At 42.4% G+C, this 23,348-nt stretch overlaps 1 protein-coding gene across 9 annotated transcripts in view, besides 1 other annotated feature; it reads left to right on the forward strand.

The window, feature by feature from the left end:
* Positions 4,650–4,949: a silencer, noted in NCBI's record as "silent region_14573". NCBI's record gives its function as "represses an Ori minimal core promoter by ATAC-STARR-seq in GM12878 lymphoblastoid cells {active_cell/tissue: GM12878}" and the evidence as "EXISTENCE:reporter gene assay evidence [ECO:0000049][PMID:35858748]".
* Positions 4,932–23,348, forward strand: part of TMEM45A (transmembrane protein 45A) — an 84,826-nt gene continuing 66,409 nt past the window's right edge. For all 9 annotated transcript variants that reach the window (XM_047448425.1, XM_047448427.1, NM_001363876.2 and 6 more), the window contains exon 1: positions 4,932–5,241. The gene's annotated coding sequence lies outside the window, so the exon portion shown is untranslated. The remainder of the gene's footprint in view (positions 5,242–23,348) is intronic.

Raw genomic sequence — 23,348 nt, forward strand, 5'->3', positions numbered from 1 at the left:
CTATGGTTTTTGTTGTTGTTGTTGTTTTAACAGACAGGATCTCACTCTGTTGCCCAAGCTGGAGTGCAGCAGTGCTATCATAGCTCACTGTAGCCTTAACCTCCTGGACTCAAGCAACCCTTCTGCCTCAGCCTCTGGAAGAGTTGGGACTACAGGTGAATGCCACCATGCCAGGCTAATTTTTAATTTTTCGAGGAGATGGGGTCTTGTTATGTTGCCAAGGTTGGTTTTGAACTCCTAGCTTCAAGAAATCCTCCCTCCTCAGCCCCCCAGAGTGTAGGGATTATAGGCATGAACAACCAGGCCTGGCCCACTATGTTTTTGGGAGGGAGGCAAGTTAATGCCAAACTTCTCAAGAAGGATGGTACTGGAGATGTGCATGGCTCCCCTAGAAAGACCAGGATTGTCGACAATTGCTGGGGCCCTCAGGGGAACCCACATCAGTGGGGTTGGAGGAAGGACTACAAATGACAGTTCTTCCAGTGTGGCTTCCTGGCTAGTTGGTAAGTCTTGGGGTTCTTAGTTAAGTTAGAAAAATTGAAGCTGGTTGTTTTTGGAAAGACTGTCCGAGGGTAACCAGTCCTATCTGTCCTGTCTGTCCATGCCACTGGCTGAGTGGCATTTGTTTACCCCCAAGAGTGACTTCTCAGTCCTGACTCTGATGATGATCATCAGACTCCGATGAAGACATTCAGAGGTGTTGACAGGTGCTTGGTGTGGGAAGTATAGGAGTTGGGGCCATCCTTTGATGTTGCCAACAGTCTTCTTGGTAAGGTTAAGGGAATGGTTATCAAATTGTGGTAAGAACTATCGGATGGGGTGGCAGAACCACAGTCAGTAAAATTTAAGGTGCTTGCAACAGTTTGGGAGAGCGTCATTAAGGCATTTTCTCTGGGGAGGAAGGCTCTAAGGCAGTTCTGAAAGACAAAGTATCACTAATGTCCCTCTTTCCTCTGTATATCACAGGGTCTAATGTGTATCTTCCTCATGTGCCAGGCTTGTTGCTTTCCTTTCACCCCAGTCGTCCCCTATTCACACCAAGCCCTTTTGTCCAGAGGGCCAGGTGCAGGAAGGATAGTACATTTTGATAAGTTTATAGAGATCCCTTATGTCCACTCCTTGGGCCCACACAGGATACTATAGGAGGACTCGGTGAGCAGTGTACTCAACTCAACTCTTAAGTGTTCATTACCTTTATGATCTAGGACAAGGTCTGTCCAACAAGAGATTGCAGGTGGCTGAACCAGAATTAAGTTTGAATCCCCTAGCCTTTTGTCCAGCCTAACTCTGAAGGTCACACCAACCCAGCTGGCCTAGTGTTACCATTAAGAGAAAGAATGAAACATCATGCCCAAGAATGGTCAGGTCAGGATCCCAAATTTTCCTAACTCTCTGCTTCTTTCATCTGGAACATGACCCAGGAAGCAGCTGAGCAAGATGATCCCTTTCTGGAGAGAGTTACATCCAGTGACCAAACTAAATTGTGGTGGTCAGGAGGAGGTGAGGGAGATAGAGTCAGAAGTATTTTTTTAAACTTTTTCTTTCGAGCTAATTGTAGATGCACATGCAAGTTGTAAGAAATAATACAGAGAAAGCCTGTGTACTCATCACCCAGTTTCCCCCAATGGTAACATTCTGCAGAATTACATTATCTCAATATCTCAACAATATCCCATGGATACAGTCAAGCTATTAATAAAAATTTCCATCACCACAAAGATCCCTCATGTTGTTCTTTCATAGCCAAGCCTACTTGCCTCCTACTCCACCATCTCCTTAATACCTGGCAACCACTTATCTGCTCTTTATTTGTATAATTTTGTAACTTGAAGGATGTTGCACAAATAGAATTACAAAGTATGTATGGAAAGCATCCAGTCTTTCACATTCAGTATAAGGTCAGCTGTAGGTACTTTGGTAGGTGTTCTTTATCAAGTGTGGAAATTCCCTTCTATTCTTCTTTTTCTGAGCGTTTTTATGGTGCTGAATTTTGTCAAGTGCTTGTTCTACATTGATTGATATATTCATGCGATTTTTCTTTTCTTTAGCTTGTTCATATCAGGAATTGCATTGATCGACATTTGTTTTTTTTTTTTTTTTTGAGACAGAGTTTCACTCTGTTGCCCCATCTAGAGTGCAGTGGCAACTGCAGTCTCAACCCCCCAGGCTCAGGTGATCCTCCCACCTCAGTCCCACCTGTACCTGAGACTACAGGTGTGTGACACCATGCTGGGCTAATTTTCATATTTTGTGTAGAGATGGGGTTGTGTCCTGTTGCCCAGGCTGGTCTCAAACTTCTGGGCTCAAAGGATTCGCTGGACTTGGTCTCCCAAAGTGCTGGGATTACAGGCATGAGGCACCACGCCTGGGTTGATTGACTTTAGAATTTTGATTTTGCATCCCTGAAAAAAACTCCACTATGTTGTGGTGTATAATTATTTTTATATATTGCTGAATTCTGTTTGGTAATACGTTGTTAAAGATTTCTGCATCTTCACCTTGTTACAGCCTGGAAAAGGCGGGAGTCTAGGATTTCTACTCAGCCTCTGTTCATGTAGGAGTGAGTGGGGCCAGGGTTTTTCCTGTGGTGTTTGGCTGAAGTAGAGCCATTACTGCCTAAAAGTTTTTCTGTCTTTCTAGGCTTCCCATTTCCTGGTCCTTGACTAGAGAGAGCAGGGTTCGTTGAGACTTTTTTGTCTGTGCCTGTTGTCATTTTTGGGTTGCTGGCTTCTTCAGCTCCAAGTTTGGGGCAAAGAAACAACAGAAAGCAAGCCCAGGGAACTCAGCATCATGTCATTCCTTGGGTTCTGAGATTTCTAGCTCATCTGTCTTCTTCTCTCAACCTCTTGGAGTTTCCAATGTTGGAAAATATATGAAGTCCAGGATTTTTTGTTGTGCTTAGCAGGAGAAATGGAATACTGATGTCCACTCCATCTTCCTGAGAGCAGAAGGATTCTTTTTTTTTTTTTTTTTTTTTTTTTTTAGTGATTTTTGGTCAATATCAGATGCCTGTTGATGGTAATGAGTGTGGAGGGTTAATCAATACCTTGACTATCAGCCCACTGTTGAGCGGCTTCTGTGATAAAAAGTGCAGCATTGTGAGATTACAAATGATTCAGAAAGCTGAACACATGACACATTACTTTCAAGGGCTACATTCAAATGTTGCTCCTTTGTGGGTTTCCTTGACTGCCAGAAGGATTGGAGTGTTGTGGTTGCACTCATGTAGTGCCACTTTACTTGCTGAGCAGGCTCCTGCATTTGTGGGGGTCTTACAGAGTTATGATAACATTGCAGTCAGGTCCATTGAAATTGAGGTGTCTGACTATCCAATTGTGGCAGACAGACTTGTAGGTGGCCCCTGTGATCTCTATTCTCTGGCTTTTCAGAACCGTGGATGGCCATTGGGAGCCTAAGAGCAGTCTTTCGGAGCTAAGGGCAGCCTCTAGCTCACATCTAGAAAGAAACTGGGGAGTCAGTCCTAGAGCTGCAAAGAAATGAATTCTGTCAATGACCTGAGAAAGCTTGGAAATGATTCTTCTCCAGTAGAGCCTGCAGATGACAATGCAGCCCGGCTGACACCTTGATTGCACCCTTGTGAGAGCATAAGCAGAGGATCTAGTTTGGCCATGCCTGGACTTCCAACCTTCAGAAACTGTGCAGTGATATACATGTGTTGTACAAAGCACTAAGTTTGTGGGAATCTGTTGCGCAGCAATAGATGACAAATACACCAACAAACAAGACATTATCATTGTAGTGAAAGCTTTGGACACTCATAATAAATTCTGACCCCTGCAGGGATGGCAAATTGCAGATGAGTTTATGTATCTATGATGGAGTGCTGCAAACATATGTTTGGAGACATCTGTGGTAGGCTGGGATAGGTGCTGGGTCTTGGAGATTATTTTAATATCTATTTTATAAGGTAGTTGTAAGAATTAAATGTGATAATGCAGGTAAAAACTGTTTAATGCGGGGTCTGGTGCCTTCCCTGGCGTGCAGCCCAGTGAGTGTGGCTCTTGCCCACTTAATATTTCAATGAGGGAACGGTTCTGTCAATATGCACAAATTATAATGGCAATTGATTTGCAGATCTCTTCTTTCCTCCTCTCCTTCTAACTCACTAATCAAAAAACTGGTTAACCCTCCAACTGCTTTCCCAAGTTCAAAGCAACGTTTGGCGCAGTCCTTTCTCAATTCTCACACAACAAAGCAGTATTTCTCGGTTCCCTACAACGACCATCACTCAATACAAAAAACCAAGCAGGTCTGCCAAACCACTCTCATACCCAGTCCTGGTCATCTCCGCAGGAACAACTTCAATTCTGGTTAATAAGGACTTCAACGAAGGGTTCATTAAGGTTTTCCCTCCACCGAAAGAAAGAATACCGTCCCCAGGGAGCAGGCTCTTGGGCCCTATTATTTGCTCCCTGGAGAAAGTGAAGAGAGAGGAATCCCAAGGCGTGGCCTGAACGCCCTTTGGGGGCGTGGGCAGCCCGGAGCCCCAGCCTCTTCCACTCCAAGCACCAGGCGCGTCTTATTTTCAGCCCCCAAACGGCTACAAATCATCCGCCTTATTTTCAGCCTCCAAACGGCTACAAATCATCCTGTTTAAACAAAGCGGTCTGTCTAAAAGGAGGGGCATAACAGGGCCGGGGCAGGGGCAAGACCTGGGAGTAGGCAACCTCCCTCTCTGCCCCGAGCCGTCCCGGCCGCGCAGCCGCCGAGTGCCACATCAGCGACGGCGCTGCACTTCCACATTCCCTTAGGATGCAGCCAGCGGGCCTGAGAGAGGGGCGGGCCCGAGGCCCTCCGGAGTGGCGGGCCGCCCGGCCAATCGGCAGCAAGTGAAGAGCTGCGGCCACCAATGAGCTGGGGCTTGTGCCAGCCGCGGCCGCCGAGGCCCGTGCCCCGCGGGGGGAACAGATGAAGCACATCTGGACAGCTGTGCGGCCTCCTCGCGGGCCGACGTCAGCCGAGCACGTCCCCCACGTCCTCTCCTTCTCGCCACTTATTATTTATTCGTTTTCCCAAAGAAGCGACTAGGGACCCAAGTTTAAAAATTCCTCCCCCCACCCAATGCGAGACGTGGCCAGATCCCATCCAACACACGGTTTAATTTTCATGGGGCTCTGGGATCAAAAGAACAGAAACAGCAACAACAAAAGCCCAGCCGCTGTCTGATTTTAAGCTGGCAAAGTGGGAAAAATAAAGTGTTGAGTAAACAGACCAAGTTGGGTAAGTTTTGGATACGTGCTGGATATCATATTTCTCTTGCCGTGATCTCTATCCTGTGTCTTTTTACTGTTCTCACCAGCTTTCTCTTCATCAAGGGGAGAAAAGTAACACTTGCTGCGACAAACTGGACCCTTCGCTCCCTTCTCTTCCGTTTCACTAACATTTTAATTTAATTTTTTTGGTTTGCTATTCTTTTTTTTTTTTTTTTTTTTTTGGTGAGCTAGTTTTAAATATCCTGGGAGCAGCAATGTGACTGATATTCTGTTGTAAACCTCTAACTCCAAAATTGAATCTATTGATAAATTTATTTCTCTATTTTCTTTCTGTGAAAATACTGTGGGTATTTGTAAAGCCAAAATCGTTTTTTATCCCCAACTCTGGGACTGTTTTGATGGGAGATTGAGAAAATTATCTGATCTTTTCAGAATTAACACGTTTGCTTCTGTTAATAGGATGTCTAATATAAATTACGTAAAACCTGGGTTATGCAGGTAGTTGCTGGATTTTTCACTTAAATCTGGAGGTAGTTGCAAGCCAAATATATATCTTTTCGGTATTCTCCTATCCATAGTGGGAGACCTGAATTCCTTTATAATTGTTAAAAACAAACAAACATGTGACAGACCACTTGTGTGTTCATAAACTTATAATTGTATATATATACTATATAGTATATATGCACTATATAGTATGGTATATATACTATATACATGCTATGTATACACTATGCTATATGGTGTATATGCTCTATGTATGCTATATAGTATACTCTATATACGCTATATATTTTGTTGTTGTTGTAGTTTGTTTGTTTGTTTTTGAGACAGAGTCTCACTCTTGTCGCCAAGGCTGGAGTGCAATGGCACGATCTCGGCTTACTGGAACCTCTGCCTCCCGGGTTCAAGTGATTCTCCTGACTCAGCCTCCCAAGTAGCTGGGATTACAGATGGCTGCCACCGTGCCCAGCTAATTTTTGTATTTTTAGTAAAGACGGGGTTTCGCCATGTTGGCCAGGCTGGTCTTGAACTCCTGACCTCAGGTTATGTGCCTCCCTTGGCCTCGCAAAGTGCTGGGATTACAGATGTGAACCACTGCACCCGACCTTATAATTGTATATTAAAACAATAATTCTATCAAAATAATATAAAATTGTTATATGTACATGCTTGCAGATAGTTCCGGTATACATTACAGGATTTAGAAACAGAATGATGAAAAATATTCAGTTAAGTGAGTGGCCTGAGACCCACTCCATCTGAAACATGTATAATCCCCTCTGTTTAACCAATGTTTTGGATTTGAGACTTTTGTCATATGTTATTTACTATCATGGGAGAGCTGGATAGAATGGATCTTTAATTTCCGGCTCAGAAAGCAGTAGATGGGAATTTAGTACAATAATTAAAAGTTGCAGCCTGGGCGCGGTGGCTCACGCCTGTAATCCCAGCACTTTGGGAGGCCAAGGCAGGTTGACCATGAGGTCAGGAGATCGAAACCATCCTGGCCAACATGGTGAATCCCTGTCTCTGCTAAAAATACAAAAATTAGCTGGGTGTGGTGGTGCGCACCTGTAATCCCAGCTACTTGGGAGGCTGAGGCAAGAGAAACTCTTGAACCCAAGAGACAGAGATTGCAGTGAGCCAAGATCACGCCACTGCACTCCAGCCATCTCCAGCTCTGGTGACAGAGTGAGACTCCGTCTAAAAAAAAAAAAAATTCTAAGTGTGTTTTTGATTCAGAAAGGTAATGCATACAAAGTGGATGGAGCAGCTGAAGTGATTTGCAGGGAAGCAGGCTTAGAAGGAACAGTATTGCAGAGAAGCGATGTAAAGAGCCAGCTGGCCTGGTTCAATTTACAGCCCTACAACAGTAACTTACCTAGGGCAAGTTACTCAGCCCCCCTGTGCCTCAGCTTCCTCCTCTGTAACATGGAGAGTTTCCTCCTCTGTGGTGAGTTTCCTTCTCAGTTCCCTCATCTGTAATGTGCTAATAATAATGGCACCTACATCATGGGGTTGTCTCGAGTACTGAGTTAGCATACATTGAACACTTGGAATAGTTCTGGCCTGTAGTCCCATAGCATGTCTTTGCTGTTGTACTCACTCTTTGTTATCTTCCTTCCCAGCCTGCACTGTTGCACATCAGTTTCCCCAGCTGCCATTTTGACTTCTGCTCTAGCAACTGGTATTAACTGAGTGCTGACCACTTGCTAGCCAGCATTGTATGAGGCTATAAGGAGAGAGAGTCTTGAATGAGGAGTGAGGTAGAATTGATCTTCTTAGGAAGATCTAGAAGGTTCTGAAATGCAGGGAATAGAAAAAGGCTATCTTTTGTAGGATGGCTTCACAGAAGGGCTTGCGTTTCTGGGAATGGGTTTTGTCAAACAGTTCTGGTTTGGGAATGGGAGGAAGGGAAGGGATTATAGAGGAGCAGGAACATTTTAGGAGGAAGGAGACCTTTTGCAGGGGCAAAGGCACTATGGCTGGAAAGTGAGGAGCTATCCTGTGGATGTTGGGACATTGGGATAATCTGTGGGAGGTTAGTTGGAGGAAAGTTTGGAAAGGTGGGAGAGGTGGGAAGGGACAGCATAAATTACCTGATAAGGAAAGAGAGGCTTGGGAGGTAGATTGGTGGGGAGATGGCAAGCCGAACTGTCAGCAGTTACACAGAAGAGGTGTTTCTGGAATAATCCATCTCTGGGGTCCTGTCTTCTCTCTTGCCCAGCATTCCCTTCCCATCTGCTCCACTGCTTCTATAACCTCCATCCAGGTCCTGCAGGTTGGGTGGGTAGGGATGGGCAGTGAGTCTGTGTTTTGGAGTCATTCCATGGTGGCTGTCTTGGAGCTCTGTTTAAGTGGTCTGGTGCTCAGGGCAGTTACCCAGGCTACTTTTTGTTAACAGGCCATGCCCTAAAATCTTTGACATGGATGTGATTGTTACAACCCTCCCCATCCGCATACACGCCCATAGTGTATGCCGAGTAGCTCTTTCTCATCCTGCTGATAGAATCATCTACTCACATTTTAACACATATAACTTCATAACTTACAATTATTGAAGTAGATAAGAACTGTAATATGCACTTAAGTGGAGAGTCACTTTGGAGTTCCCTTGCTTTCTCTTCCCTGAGAGCATTGTTCTGTGGTAGAGAGGTGTGCCTGATGCTGCTGTTGACCACCTGTGTGACTTCAGGCAAGACATTGAACCCTTGTGGTCCTCCTTGCCATCATCTGTGAAATGATCTCTAGAGGCCCTTTTTCTCTCAGATAATCATTTATTCTTCTCCCCGGATCCCTGGAACAGTCCATTATTCACAGATGCCTATTTGATACATCTGCGACTAATATTTTCTGATCACTTAATACATGGAGAACGTTCTGATGATGGTCATGTCCTCCTCACATCCTCCTGTGAGGGTTGGTACCTATTTGTGTCCTGTTTTTCTAGTTGAGGAGACAAGGGCAAAGGCAGTTTAAGAAATTTGCCCAAGATTACACAGTGAACAAGTGGCAGGTGTAGAACCAGTCTAACTTTGTAGCCCGAGCCTTACCCAATAGGCTATGCTACCTTAGGTATAATACAGCTACAGCTGCTCTTCGTGTTTGTGGTGGTGATAGTTGAGAAGTACATGGAAGGAAGATCATTGGAGAAAGGGCATATTTGGAGATATTGATTTGGTAAAATTTGCCTGGCGGGGGCCAGAATATCAATGTGAATCTTGTCTATGAAATGTGCTCCATATGGAGACAGGAGACATGTGGATCTCATTGCAGGCATGCACTCTGTCTTTTCACCTTGTTTGAACAAAACCCACATAGCACCTGGTTGTCTAGCAGACACTCAATACATGTCAATTGAATGACTGTCCCCTTTGAAAAAGGAAGTTGTGACCACACTATTTTTATTTAAAAAAATAAATAGAGAGACTATGAAATGTCCCAAGACTTGTGGGAAAATGGGTCAGATGCCAGGTAAACATTCTACTTCTGCTTTTGGGGCATCTCAGTTTCTCTTTTTATTTCTGGACATGCTGTGGTTTTGGGCTAAGAACTTCTCATGGTGAATATCAATGAAGGTCTATTTTAGGTATATAGTTATTAATCATACCCATTCTGGATTTGGCATCTATCTTTTTGGGAATTCATTCCTTAAATATTTTGTGTATTGAATCAACTTTAAAATATTTGAAAAATGTTTTAGGTTGCTCTTTATCTAATGTAGTTGCTCTTTTCAGTATGGCATAGTGACTAAGCACACAGGCTTTGAAGTCAGACTGTGAGGGTTTGAATTCCAGATCTGATTCTTACCAATGTGGCCTTGAGCAAGTCACTTTCCTCTAGAAGCTTTTATTATCTGTAAAATGGGGGTACTCATATGCATTACATGAGAAAAGCCATGGAGAGCATTCAGTATATTGTCTGGCTCACAGTAAAGCCTGTACATGTAAGCAATTCCTTTTTTATTGTGGTAAAATATATAACATAAAATTTACCATCTTAACCATTTTTAAGTATACAGTTCAATGGCATTAAGTACATTCACATTGTGTGTAACCATCACCACCATCCATCTCCAGACATTTTTCATCTTCCCAAACTGAAACTTAATACTCATTAAACAATAAATCCCTGTACCCCTTACTTTGTCAGCTTCTGGAACCAATATTCTACTTGCTATTTTTATGAATTTGACTATTCTAGGTACCTCATATAAGTGGAAGTATATAATATTTATTCTTTTATGTTTAGCTTATTTCATTTAGCAAAATGTCTTCAAGTATCATCCATGTTGTGGTATGTGCCAGAATATCCTTCCTTTTTAAGGCTGAATAATATTTCATTGTATGTATATACCATCTTTTGTTTTTCCATTCATTCATTGGTAGAGGGACTTAGGTTGTTTTCACCTGTGATGATTAGTTATGTGTCAACTTGTCTAGGCCACAGTACTGAGCTATTTGGCCAAACATTATCCTAAATGTTTCTTTGAAGATATTTTTTAGTTGATGATATGGTTTGGCTTTGTGTCCCCACCCAAACCTCATCTTAAATTGTAATCCCCATAATCCACACGTGGAGAGGGAGGGACCTGGTGGGAGGTGATTGGATCATGGGGACGGTTTCCCCCATGCTGTTCTCATGATACTGAGTGAGTTCTCATGAGACCTGATGGTTTTATAAGGGACTCTTTTCCCACTTGCTTTCTCTGTTTCCTGCCACCATGTGAAGAAGGTCCTTGCTTACCCTTTGCCTTCTGCCATGATTGTAAGTTTCCTAAGCCTCCCCAGCCATGTGGAACTGTGAGTCAATTAAACCTCTTTCTTGTATGAATTACCCAGTCTTGGGTATTTCTTCATAGCAGTGTGAAAATGGAATAATACAGATGAGGTTAACATTTAAATCAGTAGACTTTGAGTATGGCCTCCATAATGTTGGTAGGCTTCATCTAATCAATTGAAGGCCTCAATAGAAAAAGATTGAATTCCACTCAAGAAGAGAGAATTCTGCCTCCAGCCTGCCTTTGAACTTGAGACTACAGCAAGTCTTCCTTGCACCTTCAGCCTGCTAGCCTACCCTGTAGGTTTTGGACTTGCTAGCCTTCACAATTGTGTGAACCAATTCTCAAAATCAATCTGTCCATGTATGTGTGTGTGTGTTTGTGTGTGTGTCCCCTGTTGGTTTTGTTTCTCTGGAGAACCCGGGCCTCTAATTAATACACCATCTTTTGGCTACTGGGAATAATGCTGCGATAAACATTGGTGTACAAATATCTATTTAAGTTTATGCTTTCAATTATTTTGGGTGTATAACCAGAAGTGGAATTATTGGATTACCCCTTATTTTTAATATTTTGAGGAACCATCCTACTGTTTTTTCACAGCAGCTGCACCATTTTATTTTACATCCCTACAGCAGTACACAAGGGTCTCAATTTCTCCACATTCTTACCAACACTTGTTATTTTCTGTTTTTAATGTAAAAAATAATAGACATCCTAATGTGTGGGAAGCATCTTGTTGTGGTTTTGATTTGCATTTCCCTAATGTTTAGTGATGTTGAACACCATTTCATGTGCTTATTGGCCATTTGTAAATCTTTTGCCCATTTTAAAATTAGGGTTTTTTTTTCGTGTGTTGTAGAAGTTCTTTACATATTCTGGATATTAATTCCCTATCAGATATATTATTTGCAGATATTTTCTTCCATTCTTCGGGTTACCTTTCCACTGAGTTGGTAGTGTCTTTTGATGCATAACAGTTTAAAATGTTGATGGTCTAATTTCTTTATTTTTTTCTTTTTTGCCTGCACTTTTGGTGTCATATCTAAGATATGATTGCCAAATTCAATGTCCTGAAGCTTTTTCCATATGCCTTCTTCTGAGAATTTTATAGTTTTAGCTCATATGTATAAGTCTTTGTTCCATTTTGAGTTAATTTTGTAAATGGCATAAGGTAATAGGTGTTCACCTTCATTCTTTTGCATGTGGATAGTTAAGCAATTCATTAATAATTTTTATCAACGATTATAATGTTTGTCTCTATGTAGATATCATAAGCATAGACATAGCCATAGTTTAAAAATATTAATTCATTCTTGACATCATTTTTCTAATTATATCTAAAGTACTGATTTTTTCTTATAGAATTACTAAAAAATTCTGTACTTGGATCAGGTGCAGTGGCTCACGCTTTTAATCCCAGCACTTTGGGAGGCTGAGGTGGGTGGATCACTTGAGGCCAGGAGTTCGAGACCAGCCTAAGCAACATAGCGAAACCCCATCTCTAGTAAAAACACAAAAATTAGCTGGGTGTGGTGGCATGTGCCTGTAATCCCAGCTACTTAGGGTCTGAGGCAGGAGAATCATTTGAGCCTGGGAGGTGGAGGCTACCGTGAGCCGAGATTGTGCCACTGCACTCCAGCCTGGGCAACAGAACAAGACAAACAAACCAACCAACCCCTACACTTTATAGCTTTTAGTATTTCCAAGAAAGAAAAACTATTCTTGTGGTCAAATGGCATTGGTGGCTGATAGCTATTTTTTTTAAAACTATTTTTACCTTTTTGTGGTGTTTAGAATTAAAAAAGCAACATCCCCATGTTGCAAAAAATTGAAATAGATTGTAGAGTCAAAAGTAATGGTTCCCCTTCTATTTACATGGTTTCTTCCCTTCCACTACTCTCCCCACAATTAAACTTTGTTAATAGTCTGCTCTATATTTTTCTAGACCTTCTCCAAGAGTCCATTCACAGGTATAGATTTAAACATAAATATTATTTTAAAATATACATGGGACCATATTTTATGCATTGTTCAGACCTTGTTTTTTTAAAAAGTCTCAGCGGTATCAAATACACACATCTCAGTCTGTCCACTGAGACCCAGAGATCTCGTGAACATACTGTGTCCTGGAGAACAGACACTAGCACTCAAGTGAAAGAATGTTCTTTTTCTATAACACGTAACAGTGGTATTGGGTTACATTTGTTGAATGAATGTTCTTTTTCTATAACACGTAACAGTGGTATTGGGTTACATTTGTTGAACGAGGCCTGTTTGCCCTGTTCCCTCTCTCTGGACTCTTGGCTCCTCTCTGTGAGCCATCAGATTGACTGTTTCCAGTCTCGTCTGACTTTCAATGTCCCTGCCAAGGACTCTCACATTCGTCTGTCTCAGAGAAAGCTCGGAAGACAACAAATCCTTTCCCGCATCCACCCATCACCGCTTCTGAGCAGCCTGGGCCCCTCTGGTGCCATCAACAATCTTGAAGTGGCAACAGGTCCAGAGGCAAATGACTCCTTCCTTCCTGCTGTTTTATGCAAAGATTGCTATCTTCTGTGGCTTAGTTTATTTCTCCTTCAAGAGAAATTTAAAAAAAATGACCAGCAAGGTGGTGCTTTCCACAGCAAGGAAGTGGGTGGTATGCCTGCACCTTTCTCCAGAATTCCTGGAATTCCAAAGGCTTAAAAACATACACAATATTTTATTAAATTCTTTTTAGTAGATGAGAAAATTGATTTTTAAAAATTATGCTTATGGAAATTGATGTTTAGAAAGGTAAACTGTACTACTTGTAAAATTCCACAGGCTTAAAAACACCTACACAATATTTTATTAAATTCTTTTTAGTAGATGAGAAAATTGATTTTTAAAAAATACGATATGCTTAAGGAAATTGATGTTTAGAAAGGTAAACTGTACTACTTGTATAGTAAGCAAAGAATATGAAAATTTGTCTGATTTTAGTTCTCTTTTCATTCAACATTCCCGTTGCCTCCGAAAGATAGCACATTGCCCTTGAGAATTCTACAGACTAGTCCTGTGGTACCTAACCAATGTACAGCTGAATTGCCTGTGGAATATTTAAAAAATACACCCATGCTTGTCCTGCCCCTGGAGATTCTAATTCAGAAGGTGTGGAGTGAGGCCAAGGCATCTGTGAAAAGCTCCCCAGAGAGCTGATGGTTGGCCTGGGTTGAGAACCATGGATCTAGTGGGAGGAGTTTCCCAGCTAAAGTTCCAAACCCTCACAGGTGAGCTGGTGTCCTTCATTGCTGATGATGCTTAGAACTGGCCTCAAGCAGTCACAGTTGGAGGAAAGCTCTACCTAAGGTCCTAATTAAAAACACATAAATTGGATGGAAACTCCTTCTTCTTGGGATGTTTACAGAGGTTACCTTTTTATCCTGTTGCCTTATTCCCATGAAAACTCACTTGTCTAACTAAGCTGAAAGGTGGAATCTTTCTCACCAATATTTGTAGAGCTCCTATTAACTTCACTTTTTTGGGAGCCAAACTTCCCTCAGTGCCGCAGTTATTTCGTGGTAGTAACATAGGTGTTTAGGAGACATCTGAATTCCCTCTCAATGACCTAAAAGTATAATTAGTCCATTTTCTGACATGAGTCAACAACTAGGGTTGCCACATAGACCCAATTCTTAGTAGAGACTGTGTCTATCTCGGACTCAGAGTTGACCACTAATTACATTTCAGTAAAAAAATATTACTTTTAATTTATCTTAAATTTCACAGAGGAAAAAGAAACCAAGGTGAAATTTAAGGAATTTCTGAACTTCAGACAAATATCTCTTGAAACAAGACACGTTAGTTCCTTAAAGATTCCTCTAAAAAATATCAAACTGTTGGGATTATTAACTACTCTCATAAAATTCAGAATACATTCTTCATATCCAAATAGACCTACATTTTATATAACTACCCTCACACTTTAAATTAAAAAAAGAAAAAGTTCCAGATCTGACTTTGATATGTCTAGGTATGGATCTTTTTTTTTTTTTTAAACACCTTTTCTCCTGATATGTCCTTTCAATTTGAGGATCCATGTCTTTCTTCATCTCAGGGAGTTTTTCACCAATTATCTAATTTTTTCTTTCTCTCTCCTTACAAACCAGGCATAATTCAGACTAATGATCATGGCAGAATGTTAAAGGCAGATTAAAAGAAACCAAAATTGAGAGCTACATCATAATAAGAAATGCATTTAGAAAAGATTTGGGGATTCTATCTGTGTATCTATCGATCTATCAATTTTTTTTTTGAGACAGGGTCCCACTCTGTTGCCCAGGCTGGGGTGCAGTGGCATGACCATAGCTCACTGCAGCTTCAACCTCTTGGGCTCAAGCCATCTTCCTGCCTCAACCTCTCATGTAACTGGGATTACAGGTGTGTGCCACTGTGCCCAGCTAACTTAATTTTGTTTTCTTTGTAAAGATGGGATCTCCCTATGTTGTCCAGGCTAGTCTTGAACTCCTGGCCTCAAGTGATCCTCCTGCTTTGGCCTCCCAAAGTGCTGGGAAAACACATGTGAGCCACTGGACCTGGTCTAAATACTTTATATTAATGAAAATTAAGTAATATTAAAAATGTTAGCAAGGAAGAAAAAAATTATAGAAAATGCTCACAGCAAAATCATGCCATGGCTAAACCTTGGGGATAAAGACCAGAGGAAGACAGAGTGAAAAGGGAGTAAAAAAGGTTGTGTAGAGGAAGAATGGGGAGTTCTCCTTCTCCTTCTTCTCCTCCTTCTCCTTCTCCTCTTCCTCCTTCTCCTCCTCCTCCTTCTCCTCCTTCTCCATCTCCTCCTCCTCCTTCTTCTTCTCCTTCTTCCTCTCTTTCTTCTCCTCCTCCTCCTCCTTCTTCCTCTTCTTCCTCTTCCTCTTCCTCTTCTTCTTTTATTGAGACACAGTTTCACTCTGTCATCCAGGCTGGAGTACAGTGGCACAATCTTGGCTCACTGCAGCCTCCGCCTACTGGGTTCAAGCGATTCTCCTGCCTCAGCCTCCCTAGTAGCTGGGACTATAGGCACACACCACCACACCCAGCTAATTTTTGTATTTTTAGTAAAGATGAGGTTCACTATGTTGGCCAGACTGGTCTTGAACTCCTGACCTCAAGTGATCCGCCCACCTCAGCCTCCCAAAGTGCTGGGATTACAGGCCTGAGCCACTGCACCTGGCCTCTCCTTGCTGCTTCTATGACTTCTTGGACAGTTTGTTTCCAGTGGGGGAGCAGACAGATGAATCAATACCTCATCCACTTGGGGCAAGTTTGGGAACTTCTCTATATAAATTAAGCCTCATTTTCCTCAACAGAAAATTGGGCCTGTTTCTCCTTCCTTCTAAATGTCATTGCAGAGGTTTCATGAAGCAATGTGTGTGATGGGACTTTGTCCAATGTAAGATACTTTGCAGAAGTGAGTGATTCTGTGACCACAATCTTGCTATGAAGCTTTTTCTTCACAGGAAGATACATGAACAACTAATGACTGAGTGACTGTTGGTTAGGTTTCAACCTCTTCTCAGGCTTCTTCTTGTTTTACCCTCATGGACAACTTGTCGGGAAGAGGCTATTATTATTCCCATTTTATTGATAAGCCCAGAGAGGTTAAGTAACTCATGCAAGGTCACACCGTGGTGAAATCAGTATTTAAATACAGGGTAGCTTCACTCCAGTGTCTGAACTGTTAACATTTATGCCATGTGTAACATTATTTTCAGGAATGAAACAATGTTATTGGTTGCCACTTTTCAGAGAATTGGCAAGTGCTCAGGTTTAATGCAGGTGGGCAGAGGCAGAGGTGTCACTGGGTGCTCTAGCCTCTGTATCCTGAACTTCCAGCTTCCTCTTACTGTCCATTTGTGATCCTGGGAGAGAGAAACACTGTCTCCTCTGTGCCTGATCCACTCTTGTTCAAGTGTCCAGCACCCTTTCCCTGAATTACTGCAAAGACCTCTCAAATTATCTGTGGTAAAGGACCATTTCCCACCCCACCCCCTGAGTCCATTGTAGCCTTATATTTTTATAAAAAAAAAAAAAAGTCTTGCTTGGATATCGCCACAATGTTAAACTACTTCAAGATATTTAAAAGCCTCTAAACACTTCATCTCAGTTCCTGTCCTTGTAGATGGTAACAGCTTGCAGACTAGGACTGGTCCACAGGGTGTGGTTGAAATAGCACTGCTGCAAGGGTCTCCTGACTTTGATTCTTTCCCCGTATAACCTATGCACCACAGAGTGGCCAGAGTGGTTCTTGAAAAATACAACTAAAAGTCACATTGTTTCCCTGGTTACACCCTCCAGTAGCTTCCTATTGCATTTAAAATAAAATCCAGATATTTACCAACGGCCCAAAAGTCCCTGGGTCATCTGGCCCTGCCTGTATCCACCCGCTTTCATCTCCTCCCTTGCCCGCTGGATATCTCCAATGCTAATGAAACATAGGTAGGCTTGGGTAAAAGTTGTTTCAAACAGGGAACACATAATAATCTGGGATGTGAGATACACTCTGTTTTGTCCTTTCCTCTACTGGATCAAGCATGGACAAGTGCTTCTATCACTTTCTTTCCAGCAGCGAGAGCCATGCCACTAATTTCTGAATGAGCAAGATGACCAAAACCAAGTCTCAGAAAAGATTTGTGCAAAACTGTGCTTATGTAGTGTAGCCTGTTGCCTCTCTGGTGAACTCAGCCTGAAGATGCCTGTATTCTGTTGAAGTCTCATACCTGCTTTTTAGACTCTTTGTTTCCTCCCCCAGAAAATGGGTCTGTCGTGGGTCGAGATGATGGAGGGGTCATTCCAAATGTTCCTGAGATTGGAGAACAAAAGGTTGACCGTGTGGTTGTTGTCACAGACTCATTGCTGGGGAGTGTGGCTACCATTGCTGCATTGGTTATTTAATGACTGAGGGGGAAACACAAATTTTGGTTAAACAATTTCCTGGTGGGTTTAGTGCTTGCTGCCCAGAGAGCCTCTTGTGTGGAGGCACCCGGGAGAGACACCCATCTCACCACGTGCTCTACCATGGCAATGAATGAGAAAGAAGCAGCTACATGGAAAATGGTTCATTTAGCAACAGACAGCCATAGTTTCTAGGAAACTGACTTCCCACTGTTCTCCCTAACATCCCCCCAACCCATGACTTTTTAATCCATTGCCTATTCCAATGATTTTTGGACTTTCAGAAGAAGATTTCATTGTCTTTTGCTAATTAATTGCCATGGCAATGGCAACAATTCTCACATTTTAGTGGCAGGAAATTTATGTTTAATAGAATGGAGAATGTGATGTAGCAAAGTGCGTCTTTGCCAAGCATCCCAGGTGATTCTGGCATAGGTGGTCCAAGGACCTTACTTTGAAAAACACTGGTTTTAAGATTGTCTGTTCTGTGTAATGATACTGGTATTGAGTGCAAAGAGTTTTAAAGAAGTTCTGTTTCTGCCCAAGATGGAGTAACAGGGCCAGATTTACCCTTTTGCCTGACACAACCAAAAATGTCAGATAAAATACATGAAATAATGATTTTTGAAACACCAGTCATCAGGTGATGAACAGCAGTAATCTCTAAGAAATAGGAGACAAAAAGGCGTACACTCGGACTGCTCCAGCTTACTGCATGGAGAGAATTTCCAGGCTGAGACTCAGGGAAAGGAACTCAAGTGCAATTCAGACTCCCAATTTGAGGAGAAGGTGTGAAGAGGCTGGGGAAACCAAGGTGGTTAGAGTTCATGGAACAGAGTACCAGGAATGAGAGAGCTGCATGGAGAGAGAGGACCCCGATAACTGCAGAGGGGGCCCTCAAGGATTCAGCATCGTACTGACCAGCACCTGTATGTGGGGAAACTACTGGAGACCTGGGGGCCAAGCTTGTGGGGGGAAGAGAACAGAGCCTGGCTCTCACCAAAGGCTGGGAATATTGCCTGTTCCTTCCAGCCAGACTGGGAAACCCATAATCCACAGGGTATTGGTAGAACAGTCAGGAGGGCCTTGCCTCAGTAGTGGGGAATAATTAGCAGTCTAGAGCACTGCTCCATATTTGCCTAATAAATCATAAAAAAGCAATTTGCAAAAGTATTAAACTGCATCTAAGTTACTTAAGCTCATCCCAGAACAGAGTTCAAGAATATTTATGGGAATAAAAAAAAAATCCGGTGCCAAACAAGGTAAAATTCACAGTATCTGACACCCCAAAATAGTAATGTAGTTTAAAGTGGAAACACACCACTCTCCCTGACTGTCCTGGAGGTGAACTTCCATGCACATTTTTGTACCCTTAAAGAGTCCAACAGTTTAAACCTTCAGTGTAACATTTTATACATAACAATCTAGAGACTGCCAAACCATGGTCTGTGTTGATATTTATCTTGGCTTCTGAGATAGCACTTCCTCTTTCATGTCTATGAGTGTTTCAGAAAATATTTTTTCTGTGTTTGACACCTTCAACCTTGCCATTGCATTATGGTAAGGTAGATTCAGCTAAGATATTGGCTAATTACATTGTGCATCCTAAGAGGTTGGAGCTAAGAGTCGTAGGTAATGGTGATGGTTGGGTGAGATGGGACAAGTTTTCTGAGGTCAATGTATGACTCAGATTCAAAGGCTTGGAGAGCAGTAAGGACCAAACCAGGCAGGCCAAGATCTTGGACAGGTCTGAGGGGGCTAGCTAAGCCAAGTTCTAGAACCAGAAGCCCTTTGGAACCCAACAGGAACATACAGAGAGTGAAGTGAGTAAAGTCTTGTTAGGACTTGGTCAAGACTAAAGAGTCAGGGTTTGTTCATTGGCAGAAGTTGGAGGCTGGGTCAGAGAGGAGTGTTCTGGGATCATGCATGGACTTACTGCTCTAGAGGTTCATAACTGAGCTCCACAATATGAGCCTGGGATGTACATTCTTCCTCTGAGATTTGGAAGGTTTTAAATTTGGTTTCCAGGCCTATTTGTCCGATTCTCTCCCATGCCCCAAATTCAACCTGACACTCTGTCATTAGGATGTCCCTAGTTAGACACTTGACTGCCAGAACAAACATGTTTTCTTCAGATTGTCTGGCACCTGGGCATTCTTTCCCACTCTGCCTATACAGAAATGTGGCTTTTCTGCATACAATTTACAAATCTTTTGGCTGCTGGAAAACACTAAGTTTCTTAAAATATTGTAGCCCAGATGAATTTGTGGGAAAGTTCCTACTTGAAGATGATCACAAGATATTACTGTTATTTGATAGAAATTTTACCTGCTCCGGGAGATGAGAATGGGACTCAAGGATTAGTCTTTGGGAAAAGTGGAAATGAGTTGATCTTTTAAAGGAGGGGGTCTTAAAATCACTTTTTCACCTAGAAAGGTTTTCAATAAATGTTCTTGGAGCTCTTTATTTTCATTCCCAATGGCTATTGTACCATGGATTGAGTAACTAGAGTTGGGATGCAGGGATGAAGAATGGATGCTAGTCAGTGTTGTCATGACCACCATGATGGTCTGGATGGCGAGAACAATTCACTTACAGTTTTTAATAATGACAAAGACAATAACACTAGAAAGTAGATAGAGTAAGTTTATACTTTAATTTCTTTCAGATCAGTATGGACTAGAGGAGCTTCTGCCCTCTCTATGTTTTCCAAAGAGAGAAAAATAGATACAGAAGAGATTAAGAGAGCATAGGAGGGGGCTTCAAGATATTTGACTAGAGACATCTGTTATTCACCTTCTCCACAAAAGAGGACCAAAACAGCAACTAGATAAGCACGATGTCAAATAGAGTATTTAAGAGAGAACACAGGAACTCAGCAGGAAAGTGACAGAAAACCTCTCAGGCATGGAAGGAGAGGAAAGCAAAGCAGCTGGCCCAGCTGAGATCGGAGCCAGGAGAGACTCCTCAGTGCAGGAAAAGGGAAGGGAGAGAGCCCCATGTTCCACATTTCCACCATGGACTACTGCAATCCTAGCTACAGAGTGCCCTTTGGCTCTCACAGACCCTGAGACTAGTATAGGAAACTTCCTGGAGCCCACACGATGGCATTGTCTCAGAGAGGGATTTCACCATGGGTCACACACATAGCCCAAGACTGAAGCAACTGCAGCGTGGTGCCCTTTCGAGAGCCCAGGCCCGACAAGACTGCATCTTGCCGTGGAGTCCAACAGCCCATGCATCTCCATATCCCTGGAGCCCCACTGACATCCCCTTACATCTACTCAGATGGTTGCAAAATACCAATGACATTCTTCACAGAAATAGAAAACACAATGCTAAAAATTGTATGGAACCAAAAAAGGACCTAAATAGCCAAATCAATAGTAAGCAAAAAGAACAAAGCTGGAGGCATCTACTACCTGGCTTCAAAATATACCACAGACCTATAGTAAGCAAAACAACATGGCATTGGTATAAAAACAGACACATAGAGAAGTGGAACAGAATAGAGAATTCAGAAATAAATCCACATATTTACAGTCAACTGATTTTCAACAAAGGCATCAAAAACATATATTGGGGAAAGGAAACCCTGTTCAATAAGTGGTGCTGGGAAAACTGGATATTCATGTGCAGAAGAATGAAACTGTCTGAATGAATAGACCCCTGTCTCTCACTATATAAAAAAAAAAAACTCAAAATGGATTAAAAACTTTAAGACCTGAAACTATAAAACTACTAGAAGACAACATAGGGGAAACACTTCAGGGCATTGGTCTAGGCAATGGTATTATGATTAAGACCTCAAAAGCACACATAACAAAAACAAAAATAGACAAGTGGGGTTATATTAAACTAGAAAGCTTCTGTATAGCAAGGGAATAAACAGAATGAAGAGACAAACTTCGAATGGAAGAAAGTATTTTTTAACTATTCATTTGACAAGGGACTAATATCCAGAATATACAACGAACTCCATCAACTTAACAGAAAAAAAATCCCATCAGATATTTCCCAAAAGAAGACATACGAATGACTAACAGGCATATGAAAAACTGCTGAATATCACTAATCATTAAAGAACTGCAAATCAAAACCACAATGAGATATTATCTCACCCCAGTTGGAATGGCTGTTATGAAAATGACCAAAAGTAATAAATGCTGGCAAGGACATGGAGAAAAGAGAACTCTTACACATTGTTGGTGAGAATGTAAATTAGTATAGCCATTATGGAAAACAATATGGGGGTTTCTCAAAAAAATAAATGCAGAACTACCATAGAGTCCAGCAATTTCGCTACTGGATATTTATCCAAAGGAAAAGAAATCAGTATATCAAGGGGATACCTGTACTCCCATGTTTATTGCAGCACTATTCACAATAGCCAAGGTATGGAATCAACCTAAGTGTCTATCAATGAATGAATGAATGGGTAAAGAAAATGTGGTATATAGATATACGATGAAATATTGAGGGATGGAGGAGCCAAGATGGCCAAATAGGAACAGCTCCAGTCTACAGCTCCCAGCGTGAGTGATGCAGAAGACAGGTGATTTCTGCATTTCCATCTGAGGTACCGGGTTCATCTCACTAGGGAGTGCCAGACAGTGGGTGCAGGTCAGTGGGTGCGCGCACCGTGCATGAGCTGAAGCAGGCTGAGGCATTGCCTCACTCGGGAAGTGCAAGGGGTCAGGGACTTCCCTTTCCTAGTCAAAGAAAGGGGCGACAGACGGCACCTGGAAAATCAGGTCACTCCCACCCGAATACTGCGCTTTTCCAACGGGCTTAAAAAACGGCGCACCAGGAGATTATATCCCACGCATGGCTCGGAGGGTCCTACGCCCACGGAGTCTTGCTGATTGCTAGCACAGCAGTCTGAGATCAAACTGCAAGGTGGCAGCGAGGTTGGGGGAGGAGCGCCCGCCATTGTCCAGGCTTGCTTAGGTAAACAAAGCAGCTGAGAAGCTCGAACTGGGTGGAGCCCACCACAGCTCAAGGAGGCCTGCCTGCCTCTGTAGGCTCCACCTCTGGGGGCAGGGCACAGACAAACAAAAAGACAGCAGTAACCTTTGCAGACTTAAATGTCCCTGTCTGACAGCTTTGAAGAGAGCAGTGGTTCTCCCAGCATGCAGCTGGAGATCTGAGAATGGGCAGACTGCCTCCTCAAGTGGGTCCCTGACCCCTGACCCCCGAGCAGCCTAACTGGGAGGCACCCCCCAGCAGGGGCAGACTGACACCTCACATGGCTGGGTACTCCAACAGACCTGCAGCTGAGGGTCCTGTCTGTTAGAAGGAAAACTAACAAACAGAAAAGACATCCACACCAAAAACCCATCTGTACATCACCATCATCAAAGACCAAAAGTAGATAAAACCACAAAGATGGGGAAAAAACAGAGCAGAAAAACTGGAAACTCTAAAAATCAGAGCGCCTCTCCTCCTCCAAAGGAACGCACGCAGTTCCTCACCAGCAATGGAACAAAGCTGGATGGAGAATGACTTTGACGAGCTGAGAGAAGAAGGCTTCAGATGATCAAATTACTCTGAGCTACGGGAGGACATTCAAACCAAAGTCAAAGAAGTTGAAAACTTTGAAAAAAATTTAGAAGAATGTATAACTAGAATAACCAATACAGAGAAGTGCTTAAAGGAGCTGATGGAGCTGAAAACCAAGGCTCGAGAACTACGTGAAGAATGCAGAAGCCTCAGGAGCTGATGCGATCAACTGGAAGAAAGGTTATCAGCAGTGGAAGATGAAATGAATGAAATGAAGTGAGAAGGGAAGTTTAGAGAAAAAAGAATAAAAAGAAACGAGCAAAGCCTCCAAGAAATATGGGACTATGTGAAAAGACCAAATCTACGTCTGATTGGTGTACCTGAAAGTGACAGGGAGAATGGAACCAAGT

The sequence above is a fragment of the Homo sapiens genome, chromosome 3, assembly GCF_000001405.40.
Source record: "Homo sapiens chromosome 3, GRCh38.p14 Primary Assembly".
NCBI classification, from domain to species: Eukaryota; Metazoa; Chordata; class Mammalia; order Primates; family Hominidae; genus Homo; species Homo sapiens.